Here is a 15,409-nt window from a genome sequence, read left to right on the forward strand (position 1 = left end):
CACTGATGGCTTGTTTACTCTGTGTAACTGGAAACTTTTCATTGTGAAGTCATATGTGGTTGATTTTAATCTGTGAGAATTCTAAAGAGCCCCAGCTGTGGGAACATTCCTACAAAGCTGATTCTCTTCCGATTCTGCTGGAATCCTGAGTCTCTCTCAAACTGGAATTATCTTAACAATTCTTTTGCTTGAGGTTTCCTGGACGGCATATGTGGATAATGTGAGTTTAAGCCCTAAACCTTCATGAGTTCAGAATTCTCAGCAGAGACATTTCCCCACCCCCAGCCAAGGCCAGAACAATTTCTCATAGCAGTTTTTCTTTGCCAAATGGATTTTTCTAGTCCATCTTTTCACTGAGGGTGTAGATCTTCAAGATTCCTGGCTTTTGCAGACTCTTAATCAGTTCCGTTGACCTTGTAACAGCGCCCAAGTCCTCATCTCCCATTCCACAATGCACCCCTCCCTACTCATCCCTGTTGTATGGCAATTAAAACTGAAGCTTTCAGTTTCTGTTATCTGCACACACTCCCAAGGCAGCCCATATCTTAGATCCTCACTCACCACCCTGGTGTCAGCTCTCTCTCCATTTTTGCCTCTGTAGAGACTTACATTCAATTTTTGTGAGCTTAGCTACATATTTAAAAGGTTGTTTTTTATATTACATTCAGCATTTCTCAGTGTCTGTAATTGGGAGAGTTTCTCCAAATATCTATTCTTCATAATACTAGAAGCAGAAGTTCAACAGGCCTTCTCTATCTGATGCTTAAAAGCTAGCGAGGCAGTCATTTCAGGGCTTTGGAGAGGTCCTACTCTGTTACCTCCCAGCTTAATTACAACTGAATTTTCTAGAACTAAAAAAAATGTTTAACATGAGCAGAGGTGAGGTGAGGTGTCAATCAATCCATTTTCACAATATGCTACCACCTACTATTCAGTGGACTTGCTAAAAAGTCACCTAGCAGAGAGAGCTTTGCCACTTTGTTATGCCAAAGGATCAAATAATGCAGAAACCATTCATTCATACAATAAATATTCACCAAGAATCTGCTCTTTGCAAGGTACAAAGTGCTAGGCAAACAAAAGTGATTAAAACAGGAACTTGGCCCTCAAAGAGTTTAGCTAGAATGCCTAAAAATTTTCTTGCCTTAAGTGCAAATTGATCAATAAGTAGAGATTGCCTGGAGCATTGTATTAAGAATCTGAGGCCAGGCATGGTGGCTCACGCCTGTAATCTCAGCACTTTGGGAGGCCGAGGCGGGAGGATCACGAGGTCAGGAGATTCAGACCATTCCAGCCAGCACAGTGAAACCCTGTCTCTACGAAAAATACAAAAAATTAGCCGGGCATGGTGGCATGCACCTGTAATCCCAGCTACTTGGGAAGCTGAGGCAGGAGAATTTCTTGAACCCAGCAGGCGGAGGTTGCAGTGAGCCAAGATCGCGCCACTGCACTCCAGCCTGGGCGACAGAGCGAGACTCCGTCTCAAAAAAAAAAAAAAAAACAAAAAAAAAAAAAGAAGAAGCTGAGGACAAGTCTAAACTAGTGAGTCATCTGTTAAAATACAAACCCCACTATGCCATTTCCCTGTTGAAGCACCTCTAATAGCTTCCCATTACTCCCAGGTTGTAATCCAAACTCTGTGGCCTACAAGGAGGTCCTCCCAGATGTGGCCCTGCCTGTCTCCCAGTCTTCCTCTTGTTCACTCCATTCTATCCATACTAGCTTCCTTCTGCTCTTCAAAGGTGCCTAGTTCATTCTCACTTTAGCTCTTTTGCACATATTCTTCCTCCCACCTAGAATATTCTTAGTTCTTTACATGGGTCCCACTTCTCATCATGAGTCTCAGCTTAAATGAGACACACTTTGAGAGGGCCCTTCCCTAAAGACCCTGTAAAAAGGATCTCTCCCACCATATCATTTATCTGTCACATCACCCTTTTTAAATTTTCTTCACAGTCCATATCAGTATCTTAAATTATCAAGTTATTTGTATATTTTCTCATTTATTCTTTACTTTTCTCTATATTCTCTAAATGTACCTGGCATATGTAATGGGTGCTCTGTGGTATACATATGGATGAATACATAAATGGATAAATGGTCAGTGATGTCTGCAAGCATGCAAAATAGGAGGGTGGCTCTACTTGTACTACCTAAGTGCATCAGAGGAAAGGTGACAGTAACAAAAAACATCAACTAAGTGCAAAAAATGCCGTTAGGTTCAGGAGTGATGAAAGGGGACATAATGAACTCTGTTGGGAGCAAGTGAAGGACACAGGCAGGGAAACTGTCCTTGAAAAGGCAGCTTACCAAAGACCCTAAAGAAAAGCTGGAAGTTACTGGCAGGCATGGTGGAAAAAAGCATCCAGACAGAAAAAGCACATGCAGCAACAAGCAGCTGTGAGATTCCTCCTTACTTCATGCTATCACCCTGAATTCAGGGAATCAGAACTTCCCAAAGGGTTCCAGTTTTGGCCTCTTGTCCAGAGATGTCCAGGTGGCCAAATATCAAAGTCCTGTTTCAGACTTTCCCATTAACTAATCATATGGTTTCTAAGAGAGTCATTCTACCCCTGGGGGCCCCCACCTTCAGCAGCTATAAAACCAGGATGTGGCTCGTAGGTCTCTCATATCCCTTCCATCTCTGCAGGTCTGTTAGATACTCCCGTGTTTGCTCCAGCACACATTCTGAATTGGCCAGTACTGGAACTGTAAAACATATTGATTCCTTTTGGTGATTTCTTTTGTGCTGGTTTTTGTTTTTTAATGATTAAGAGATAGTCTACAGAATATCAGTGTTCCACTCTGTCACTCAGTTATAGCTAAACAAATCAATTATAAAATTAAGCTCTGAATTTTGGTAAATTCCAAAGCCTTGCACATGCCGCCTCTGGCCAGTCTGAAGTCCACCGCTCCATATCACTGAAAGCCCTTCTTTAGAATGCAGGTGACTGGGTCCAACCATTTACCATCCAACCCCCCAGAGCCACTGAATTAGCATCTCTCATGAGTGGGGCCCAGAAATCCACATTGTCAACATTGGTAATGCCCAGTTAATTCTTTCTTATTCACCCTCAAGGAGAGAACCACTACCTCTTAGCTTCGCTCTGTTCCAGGATAAAAACAAAACAATAACCAAAACACTAACAGTGGCCAGCATGCATTGAGTGCTTCTTATGTGTCGTGATTTGTCCCAGGCTTCTGACTTCCTTTCTTGCCCCAACAGTGTTGAATCACTTGCCCAGGTTCACATAGCAACCAGCTGGGGAATGAGGATTTGAATCCATGTTCTTTGGACTCCAGCATCCATGTTTCCAACTGCTAACTACACTACAGCAGGGTACAATGCTTAAGAGCCTCATTCAGCTCTAGCATCGGACTTGATGAGTTCAAATCCCAGCTGTACCATTTACTAGCTGTGTGGCCTTGGGCAAGTTATTTTGCCTCCTTCAGCCTCAGTTTCCTCAATGTAAGGTGAGGATAATAAGCATTGCTACTTCATAGGGTGCTTGGTTGTGAAGGACAACTGAGTAAAATGCTGAGAAGGGAACCTGGTGCATAGTGAGCGTCAGCCATGATGATCCAGCCTCCCTTTCTCCAGGCTTGGGCTCCTTGGGGCGTGGTACTTGTCCCAAAGGAAATCTCTGTCAAGCATGAGTAGACGGAACTGAAGAAAATCCATCCTCTCTGCTGGAAAGCAACCCACAGCCCATGGTCTACTGACAGTGGGTCAGTAGTGTTGTCTTTGGAGATAAAGTATGGCACATTATTTGAACTTGAATGTTCAAAGGGCATCAACTCCTTTCTAGCACACAACACTTTCAGCCTTGCTGCTTCTTTTTCTTTCATGCCTCCTAATGGTTCTGTCTGTCATTATGAACCTTTCAGCTCTGCTTCCACAAAGCACAAAGGGATCCCATCCTTTAATCCTCAAAATAGTTTGTCTTTATAGTTTGGCAGGTAAGAGTTGGTTGCAGCAGTAACTCCTGAAACCTGCCTCTCATTATGCCAAGAACTGCAATGTGTTTGCCACATAAAAGCATGAGTGATAACAAATGCTTTCCGATGGTGAGAACTGCTCTTTATGGCCTGCTTTCCAAGTGCCCTCTTGACATAGAAGAACTTTTTTTTTTTACAACATCAATCATCATTAGTAGCAAATGGTGATATCTGTATCTGTCCAGGTGACATCTCAGCCAAGGAAGGAAGCCACATCCTGAGAATGTCAGCTGTTACCTCAAGACTGAAATACAGCAATAGTTACCTCAAGATAGAAATATAGTAAAGAACTTTTGTCTTTCATGACAGAAATTATTCCATAGGTCATATTTTTACTAAATCTTCTAAGGAGGTACTTAAAATTACTTTTTCGTTGTAAATAAAACTAGTTTTAGAGTAATGCATAATATTTTATTCTTTTATTTTTGAGACAGGGTCTCACTCTGTCATCCAGGCTGGAGTACAGTGGCATGATCCTAGCTCACTGTAGATTCGAAATCCTGTTCCAGTGGTCCTCCCACCTCAACCTCCTGATCAACTGAACTACAGGAATGCACCACCAAACCCAGCTAATTATTTTTTTGTAGAGGTGGGGGTCTCACAATGCTGCCCAGACTGTTCTCAAACTCCTGGCCTCAAGTGATGTTCCTGCCCAGGCCTAAAATTTTAAGTAAGTTCCTATTTATGACCACAGATATTTTGAGAGTCCATTGCCATGCTAGCCTTATGCAAATTCAGCGATGTACCCATGAACCACTATACCCACCCCAAAAGCTCCACCCAGGGGAGACAAGGCATCTGAGGGGCACAAGCCCCAGCAGACCACCACGGATCTGCTGACCTGGGAGCAAACAGACTCCTCCTCTTAAAAGATCTACCCACTCAGCAATACCTGAACTTTGCAGGAGCCAGCAAACAAGCACCTCACTCCTTGGTAAGACTTTCCTTTTGCTGCACCAAACTGGAATCTTCCTACCGCCCCAACCTACTGAATCTATACCATTATTTCAGCAAGAGAAACTGAGCAAAACATTGACTACTTGTGTTAGAGAACAATGAAATATTCTCATCAGAAACCCTATCCTAGAGAAGGAAACTGTCTGCAGTAGAGGGAGGAGCTCCACTAACTTCGAACAGCTCCAGGACTGACATCGCTAAGGTCTTCCCAACTTTATCTTTTCTCACTAGCCCCCAGAGCTGTCCAGTTCCAGCACATGGACATATATGAAAATACAATATCATATGCCTCCTCCACTGACCAGGGCAAAAGCTGCAGTAAAAGAACTATCAAGTCAAGGAATTATCTTAAAATATTACTAATAACATTACCAAATTACAAAAAAAGGATCTTTAATAAGCCTTCCATCTAATGAAGAATGGAATGAAAATCAAGAAAAAATGTTGACAGAATACAAAAAGCTGAAGTTCAGATGCTGAACACATTCTTTTAATGTTTTATTTATTTATTTTGAGACAGGGTCTTACTCTGTTGCCCAAGCTGGAGTGCAGTGGTGCAATCATGGCTCACTATAGCCTCTACCTCCCAGGCCCAAATGATCCTCCCATCTCAGTCTCCCAAGTAGCTGGGACTATAGGTGCATGCCACCATGTCCAGCTAATTTTAAAAAAAAAAAATTGTAGAAACAATGTCTCAGTATGTTGCCCAGGCTGGTCTCAAACTCCTGGGCTCAAGTACTCCCCCTATCTTGGCCTCCCAAGTAGCTGGGATTACAGGTGTCAGCCACTGTGCCCCAGCCGCTGAACATATTTAGTCAAACTTCTTACCAGAGTAAATCCCATTGTAACCACTGAGGCAAGCTTGGCTCCTCCCAGAATCTGCTTTCTAGGCTCAGTCCTTCACATGGTCTTCCTTCTTGTCCCCTTGGTCACCAAGCCATGCAGCCCTTCCACCCTTGGCCCATGCAGGTATAATTCTGGTCCCTAGCCCCCAAGGTAAGGAAGCCTCTTCACTTCCAAGTCCCCAAAGTCACCTGCCTGGGCCACTAGCCATGCAGCAGTAACTTCATACTTCCCTGTTTTGCTCTTCTTGAAGGTTCCTATTGTCCAACCATAGGCCAGGAAGCCCTGCTCTTACTAAATCAAGTGTTCTCAATCAACTCACCTGAGTCAAACAGGCCTTAAAAGTCTACCTATGCCAATCTTGTCATTTACATGTAAGGCAGAGAGGCTGAATGACTTGCTCAAGGTCATAAAGAAAATTAAGGAGTACAAGCCAAGCCTCCTGTTACCCAGGCCAGTGGTTTTCACATGGTACCACCGATGAAGCCTGGGGCTGTAGACCCCGTTGAGCCCTGCCCAGTATTCCTTTTCCACCTGTCACCAGTGCTACTGCTAACCTCACACCTCTAATCTTCTCGAGAGAACCACTCTTGGGTGATATAGCCACCTTGCCCAAGTATGCCCGGGAATTATCACTTAGGACCAGGTTGCCCGTAGCTCAAGACTGGTTGATGCAAAGATACAAAATTCCTACTTTCCTGCCTCAAGGAAGAACACACCCTGCTATGATTGATGCTTCAGAGCATCCACAGGATCAGGCTCAGAATGGGCCTCACCTGAAAGTGCATCCTTTCTCCTGAGAATGCTCGTTAATAACTCATTTTGCTAAGATTCTCTTATATTCAGCTCTGCTTCTAGGGAATCTAACCTGACACTGGGGTTCTCTCTGAGCATTCCAAGCAAGTATACTGGTCCAGGCCCCACAGTGCTCAAATGGCCTCCATGACAATCTTTATCCAGAGCCCATCAACATTCAATCCAGTCCCTCAGTCAGGAATATCCCTTGTCCCTTCCAGCCTAGAAGTCCACTCTTCCTCCTGAGAGAAGCACCAAGTCCCTCCCTCCTGCCCTCTCAAGCTCTCACCTGACTTGTAGTTAGGATCTGAAAGAAACTCTGAAGTCAGTGAATCATCAAGCTGAGGTCATCAGCAGCATAACACTCCCTAAAATATTTAGTCTTCGGTGCTCCTTAGGGAGCAGAGAAATGCCCCCACAGTGTCCCTTAATTTGCTTCTTAAATGGTGAAATCTCTTAAACAGAGAATGAGGGTTTTCATTACAGCATTAACATCACCAACATGCAGTGGCTCATGCCAGTAATCCCAGCACTTTGGGAGGCCAAGGCAGGTGGATCACTTGAGGCCAGGAGTTCAAGGCCAGCCTGGCCAATGTGGCAAAATCCCATCTTTGCAAAAAATATATAAAAAGTAGCTGGGCGTGGTGGCACATACCTATGGCCCCAACTATTCAGGAGGCTGAGGCATGAGAATCCCTTGGAACCGGGAGGCGGAGACTGTGGGGAGCTGAGATCACGTTACTGCACTCCAGCCTGGGTGACAGGGTAATACCCTGTCTCAAAACATAAATCACCAACAAGCCACCCATTGCTTTTGAAGATACTCTACCCTACTTTCTCAGAGGAATCACTGTTCTTGCTACATGTTCTAACTGATGTTCTTATCTGGATACAAAATTAAAAAGGTTTGTCACTCTGGAGTAATTATTTAACTATGACTTGTTTACATAAAACAGCATCCTAGAAAATGAGTTTGCACTGGTTTCTTTCACAGCAGAGATCAGATTATTGACAAAATATCCGGAGAACTTATAACCTGCTTTGTAACAATAATGGCTATTCATGTATAGTGCCCAATATGTTCCAGGCACCAGAAATATGTCCCTTCTAATCCTTGCAACAGGTGGGGACAATACTGGTCAGAGAAGTTAAATAACTTGATCAAGGTTAAGCAACAAATACATGGTAGAAACAGGATTTGAACCCAGGTCTGTCTACCCACAAAGCAAGTGACTGGGCCACTTCACCACCTCTACCTCCTGTTCTCCAGTGCTTGAGACTGGTTCTACCCTGCAGCAGTTCCTGTTCCAAGCTAAGCTTCGTACAAGAATTAATGGACGTTCTCAAAAGTACACCCTGTTCTCTGACCTTGAGAGAGGAACAAGAAGAAGAGCATCTGGTGTAGACAAATGTAAGGATCAAGAGGGGCTTTGACAGGAAGGCAGAGTAAATGTTCTCTTCCCTGTTTCTCCCATAAGTCTAGCTAAAAACTGAGCATTAGATCTAAAACAAGCATAAGAAGACACCGAAAGGTGGGGAGCTGCCAAGTGGGTTAAGGACCTCAGGACCCAGGGAATGACATGGCAACGAGTTCCTGAATTTTCTTTTTCCCTCATGTATTTCCTCATCTATACCTGAAAAGCCAGCAACCTGGAAACACCAATACACATAGACCAAAAACAAATAAGCAAAAAAAGCTCCTCTCTTTGTCCAAAGAACCAGGAAAGGGGCAGCCTAGCTTCTTTTAGATTGAAGAAAAAAATGAAAACTTTTAGATAATAACCACTCTACTCGAAACACACCACACACACACACGCACACACACACACACACACACACACACACACACACACACACACAAAACTGTGGACCCACCCATACAAGCAAAGACCTAGTGGGGAACCTAGACAGTAGTGAGGAGCCCCAACACCTCCACCAGGATAGTTTCTGAGAGGCTGAGTGTGGAGGCTGGCCTTTCATCTCTGCTAGGTGGCAATGTGGCTGCAAAGGTGTCAGAGGAGGCTGGTGGAGAATCAGGTCTTACCCGCCACCACTCAGCAGTAATGAAGCCATTCCAACCGTGGGAGTGGAGGTCACATGGAGAACCATAACAGGACTCCTCCTCCTGGCAGCCAGATGGATATGGGTTTCAAAGAGCAACTATAAATGTTCTTGAAACAAAAAACTACAAAGAACTAGCAAAGTAATGAGAAGTATCAGCAAAGAAACAGAAGATAGAAGAACCAAGTAGAAACTTTGGGACTGAAATATATTATAAATGAAATGTAAAAAAAAAAAAAAAAACTCAATGGATGGGTTCAATAGCAGAATAAAGAGAACAGAGGCCAAAAAAAATCTGTGAACTTACAGATAAAACAATTACCCATAAACAATCAAAATAAATTAGGCTGGGGAAAAAAATGAACTAAGCCTCAGAGACGTGTTGAACTACAAAAAAAAGATGTTAAAGGTAGGTCATCTGACTCCCAGAAGGAGAGGAAAAAGAGGGTAGGGCTAGAAAAGCATTTGAAGAAATAATGGCTAAAAACTTTCCAAAGTTGGCAAAAGACAGAATCAAGAATCTGAGCACCAAATGGGATAAACCCAAAGAAATCCACACCAAGATGCATCACAGTCCCACAAAAAGACAAAGGAAAAAGCCTTGACAGTAGCCAGAGAGAAATGATGCATGAAGCCATAGGGGAAGAACAATTTGAATGACAGAGGATTTCGCAAAATAAACCAAGGAGGCCAGTAGGAAGCAGTGCAACATTTTTTAAGTGCTGAAAGAAAGAACTATCAATCCAAAATTCTATATCCAGAGAAAATATTCTTCAGGGATGACATTCTCAGATGAAGAAAAACTAAGAGGATTTGTCACCAGGAGACCTGCCCTAAAATAATGACTAAAGGAAGTTCTCTAAACAAAAAGGAAAAGATAAAAGAAAGAATGTCTCAGAACATCAGGAAGGAAGAAAAAAACATGGCAAAAATATATATAAATACAATCGAGTTTGCTTTGCTTCTCCTCTTGAGTTTTCTAGATTCAGTTGATGATTAAAAAATCATAACACTGTCTAATGCAGTTCTCAAGGTATGCAAAAGAAATAAGACAATCATATAATTGGAAGGGTAAAGGGAGGTAATTTTCTTTTTCTTTTACTTTTTTGTAGCAACAAGGTCTTGCCATGTTGCCTAGGCTGGTCTGAATTCCTGAACTCAAGCAATCTGCCCGCCTTGGCCTCCTAAAGTGCTGGGATTGCAGGTGTGAGCCCCTGTGCCTGGCCCATGTCTAGGTTTCTATACTTCGCTGGACCTAATAAAATGACAATAATAGTAGGCAATGATAAATCATGTATGTCTACATGTTTAAAAAGCCATGTCAAAAGATACACTCTAAAGCAATATAGATAAATCAAAATTGGATTCTATAAAATGCTCAAAGAACCCACAGAACAGCAGGAAAAGGTCCAAGGAGAAACTGAAGAGGAGGAATGGAGGCATCTGCCCCTCCTTCTGCCAGGGTCACTTTAAAACTAGACCCTTTTCACAAGGTGGGGAGCACAGTCATTTCTGCTGTTCTGGGGGTACATCTAGGGTGGGACAGGGATGAACCCACCAGGCTTTTCCACAGAGCTTTGCCTTGCATTGGTGAATGTGTGCCCTGGTGCTTATGGAAGGCTCTTCTCAAAGCCCGCAGGCTGACCTGCCAGCACACCCAAAGTGGCTCCTTGTCAAGGCTCAGGGTCTCAGCTCACCTTCAGCATGGTGGAGTTTCCCTCCTGGGGGAGAACAGTACATTTGCACTCTGTTTACAAAAAGCCAAAAGCTATGCTTTGTGTGCAACCTATCTGCTGGAAAAAAAAAAAAAATGGAACTAAGGTGTCTTTGAGAATGATCTGATGCAGCTAGGTCAGGGGGAAGAAAGAAACGCAACAATTTGGAGCAGTGCCCCAAACGCTTAAATGAGCTGGGTACAAATCAGTCAGCGTTGGTAAACTCTACCTATAGATAGATATAATATCTATTTTATAATAGATAGATTATATATTTATAATATATATACTATATATTATATAGATATTTTATAATAGGCATTTTCTGACTTAGAAATACTAAGACAAAACAGATACTAAGTTCCAGAGAACCTCCCTTTAATTTTATTAGGGACAGGAGTCCTGAATCCTTCCAGGCAAGAAGATAGCCCCACAGTCTTGTAGTAAACCGTGTGCTGCTGTGTTTCTAGACCCTTAACTTTGTACCTCCTAGAAGAATGCTTCTAAAAACTTTCATTACACTTGTTGATAATGTTTACACTTTAAAAAATACATATATCTGGGAAGGTATTTGTACACGTCATTCATTATTCCAAATATAAGGGTATTTGTACATTACATGTCATTCATTATTTCAAATGTAATTTTAATCAGATCAACATAAAAGCATCTTAATATAATCAGTAGTGGCACTGGTAACTTTAAATATTAAAATCTACAATAGGAAAAAAGGAGCTTTGATTCATTGTCTCTTTTCAAATTAGCACAATCAACTTAGCACACACCTCTAACCTTTCTTTCCAACCTCTCATGTTCTTTCTGCCTTTTCTCTTGCTTCTCACTCCCCCAGCCCATGATATAACAAAGAGAAGGCTGTAGAGGGCAGAGTCAGGGTTGACAAAAAACAGATTCCAATTATTCCTTCTCCTTGCACGTATTCAAAAACCTATAGCCTTTTATAAAAATATTTCGATTTTTTCCCAGGAAATCTACTTTTTATGTTTGCCCTGTCTTTAGCCAACTCTAATAGATTTTTCTGTTGAGTTCTGATCTGTACCTGAGATTCTTAAGAGGTATATTTGCAGACAAAACCAGGAAGATTTCCCTGAATTTTTTGGAAACAATCTTCCTTACACCAAAAAGTAAATTGCCCAAGGAAGCCTCTCCCACCTAGGACTTCCTAAGAGCAGAACTGGCACTTGTAAAAACTCAGGAAGGTTGCAAAAAAATTGGAAATGGGGTTCCATGGTTTCAATATAACGTTAAATTTGAAAATTAACGCCTCAAGTTAATTTGGCTCTTTCTGTCTTGAGCTGATTAGTGAACACTAGAATTCATGCTAGAGCTCCCAAACCATTTGCCTGCAATGCAGGGCTCATGTTCCAAATTCTGCTTTTTGCAGTAAAAAATAATATGCTCACATCATTTCATGACTGTGGTGCTACAGTGTTTCTACCGGCTTGCACGCCTCCTACGGGTGGGCTGATGTTTATTGTATTAGTACATAATGCTGCAACTTTCCACTGGCACACAAAGCTAGTGGTTTTCTAAAGCAGTCCTGGAATTCATTACCATGGAAACAAAAGGTATAAAAAGCTGTTTTTATCTAATAGGAAAACTTAGAGGAACTCTAAAAAAGATCAAAAGTGTTTTCAAAGTAAAGGTAGAGTCAAATACATTAAGTTTAGGTTAAAGGAGCCTCGGAAAGGAATCGCAAGGGTTAACAGAGGAAGGAGGCGGACTCTGTAGTGATGGGAGAAAACTCAGCAGCGCCACTGGGAGGCTCTGAAACTGGGACAAGGATGGATAAGTCGGGCTGCCGACCAAGTCCACCCCCAAAAAAGTGGCTGAAAGAACCCAATACTCTTCCTCTGCCAAGGTACAGGAGACATGGTTAGAACTCCAGTCTCTCCCCACAGAGGTGAAAATGAGTAGTTTGTTCTTCGGACATAAATAATATCATACACACCCTGGTCCTAATACATCCATCCAACCATTCTAGACTCTAGATTCTAGACATGGAAACGAGAAGCAAATGAAAAGCTTAATATAAATATGTTCATTTTATCAACTCATCATTTGATCTAGAGCTTGATCTCATGTGTTCAGGAAATGCTGTCACAGGTCCTATTTTAGTTTGGGAAAGGAGTAAGCGCAAACCACAAGTATTTATTTTGGTGTTTACGGTGTTTCCCTAACATCCAAATAAGTTCACCACATCCTGCCATCAGCTTCAAAATAGAATTTTGGATATATTCTTCCTTCCATGGAAAACTTCCTGATACATAAACTGCTCTGACCATCTGTAATAATACAAACTCTTATCCAGTATCCTCCTCAGAAAACATCTGGAACAATAGGAAGCTCCCATCAATGCTGCTAAAGGAACACAACGTTTCTGGAAGCCATGTGATCATTCCGGCAGCAGGGAAGATACATGGGGTCACAGGCAGTCAGACTCCATCCTTGTACTGAGGCCACTGCCCACCATGGGTGTGCTGGCCAGCCCATCTGCCATTCTAGCCAGCGATATACGGAGAGTATGAGGCTTACAGAGCTGAAGTCTTCTGCATTAAAAGGCTTAATTTTCCTGCTCAAAGGCAGTCTTTTAGAATAGCAAGGAAAAATTATTTTAACTTAGAATGGGGTTAAACTAACAGCAGGACTGTGTTTAGAGAAAGGAAACCATACAGAAATAATTTGAAAACATACCATCTAAAAGGCAGTAAAAAGCAATGGTTGAAAGCATGGACTTTTGAGTCCATCAGACACATAGGTTTGAATATCACATGCCCACTTACTTTCCATGTAACCTTAGATAAGCCTCAGTTCCTCATCTGAAAACCATACCTATCTGACAGAATTGTTGTAAGGATCCAATAAGATCAGGCGTGTTACATGTTTAGCATAGTGCCTGGCATATGGGAAGCTGTCAATAAACATTACCTCTTGCACTGTTTCTGTTACAGGGAGCAGGTGATGTTTAGCCTGGAGAACTGAAGGCTCAGGAAGAACGGGGTCTTCAAACACCTGAAGGACTGTCTCATGAAAAAGAGATGCACAAGACAGGAGAATTGAGCAGAGAGATGTTTAACTCAAATCGAAGAACAAAGACAGCATTGAATCACCACCTATCAAGGGTCTTACTTGAATAGACTTTGGTTTGGATGAGAGGCTATAGAAGAAAACCTCAAAAGTCTCTTCCAATTCTAAGGTTTCATGATTCCAGGCATTTGGAGAATTAGGAAAAATAATCACTTAAAAAAAAAACTATTTAGTGCCAAGCTTCCTAAAACATCTTTAAAATGTCCAATATCCATGAATCATAGGGTATTATCCATTTTATTTGAAAACCATGGAACTCTACTACTAGAACTTCATTCTAGGTTGTTTAAAACAAAGTACAATGCAAAACTGTCTTCTTTCATAAGAACCATTTTCTAGATGGGCATAGATTCTTTGAGGGAATTCTTATCATGCAGATATTTTACTTCAAAATCTAAACTTGTACCACTTTACTGGAATGAAATATTAACGCTATTAATTTAAACATCATAACATTTTTTAAAAATAAGGTGTTAAAATAATATTTATTCATCAATCCTATACCACTACAATATTTTAGATCAGTGATTTAATATCTGAAAAAATTTATCACATACTATGCATACCACTGATCAGCAGAGGCTGAAATTTTACTGTAACTTCAGTCCAAAGATACAGGTTTTAATTTGAGTTCTCCATAATTCACAGAAATATTTAAGGGTAAATATAAGTCTTAATTAAAATCCCTATTCTCCCAGCATGTGCTAAACCCACCCTGCTCCACATGCAGACCCTTGGCCCCAAACAATCCCGAGAGGATGTTGGCTCAGAGCAGCAAGGAGCTGACAGATGGGGCATTCGGTAAAGGAGTGGTGCTGGGTTTTTTCATTTTTGTTAGAGACGAAAGCTGTGGGAAAAACATTCTCCACTTAATCTATTTTATTTTCAGCAAGGTTTTACCTGTAAATATTAATTTATACACCAGCAAAACTCACTAGATGCCTGGGCTACATGAATATAAATGAAATAAAGCTATCCAAACTAAAAAATGAAATTTCCTGTATCTTCCTTTCTCAGGCAGAGGAAAAATATCCAAGGATTTAAAATTCTATCCAGTGGTTTCAAAGGCAACAAAAGATCTCACATTGAGCTCTCATTTAAATAGGTGGGGTTAACCAGGGTAGAAATTACAAGTTAAAGTGCTGCAGCATAAAGAAGAAAAATAATCATTTATGCCATTTTCAATACAGAATTTATTTCCAAATCAAAACCCTTTACACTTGGAATATTGTCAAATCTCAAATTTTTACCTTGCTGAGATCTACGACCACCTTTTGAAACTGAGACAGTGTAGGTATGATTACTCCCTGTATACTCAAGGGTTAGGAAAATGGAAAAGAACCGTGAGCCCCTCAAGAATGGTGGCTTTTCTTATTGGAATGAAGTAAATAAAATAAATTCATTGACAATGCATTTAATTTCTTTCTTAGCAATTAATTGTGTATCTACATTGAATGATAACCGTGTAAACAGTCAAGATATGCATGTGGCAAATGAAAAATAAAGCAAAATGTTTTATCCTGAGTTACATGGATTCCCAGAGTGCAACGGATGGGGAAAGGGTTGGGGGGAGGGATTCTCCTAGGTTTGATAACACTTTCCTTAAATTCAACAGCAATTCACCCCTGTTTAGCTGTTCTACAATGCTGATTAAGAGGGTACAGCATTGTGCCCTCTGGGTGCTCTGTGCTCACTGGCTTGGGTTTTTACTGGGACCCCCAGTTTTGTGTCCAATGGAAGTTGGGAACACAGCACTCCAACCTTCCCCATTTTTAATCCTCCTAGAGACTCCTAAAATAATCCTTTGAAGTTTTGTCATAGCAGAGAGATGCTGTGAGAGGGAAAGAGGTTTCCACATACTTCCACCCCCACATAGCTGAACATGAGCTGGCATCAGGTAAAAGTTCACAGGATTCCCAGTCTTGGAAGACTCT

The 15,409-nt window shown here is 41.5% G+C and overlaps 1 protein-coding gene and 1 long non-coding RNA gene across 14 annotated transcripts in view; one reads left to right on the forward strand and one right to left on the reverse strand.

The window, feature by feature from the left end:
• GRM8 (glutamate metabotropic receptor 8) overlaps window positions 1-15,409 on the reverse strand; it is an 814,344-nt gene that overhangs the window by 776,436 nt on the left and 22,499 nt on the right. The gene's annotated exons all lie outside the window — the stretch shown is intronic.
• Window positions 94-14,888, forward strand: GRM8-AS1 (GRM8 antisense RNA 1). 2 transcript variants are annotated; one of them, NR_110194.1, is made up of 3 exons: window positions 94-220; window positions 4,434-4,669; window positions 13,340-14,888. It is a non-coding gene; the product is annotated as a GRM8 antisense RNA 1 (long non-coding RNA). The 2 variants fall into 2 exon arrangements; NR_110195.1 differs by lacking the exon at window positions 4,434-4,669.

The sequence above is a fragment of the Homo sapiens genome, chromosome 7, assembly GCF_000001405.40.
Source record: "Homo sapiens chromosome 7, GRCh38.p14 Primary Assembly".
In the NCBI taxonomy this organism is placed as follows: domain Eukaryota; kingdom Metazoa; phylum Chordata; class Mammalia; order Primates; family Hominidae; genus Homo; species Homo sapiens.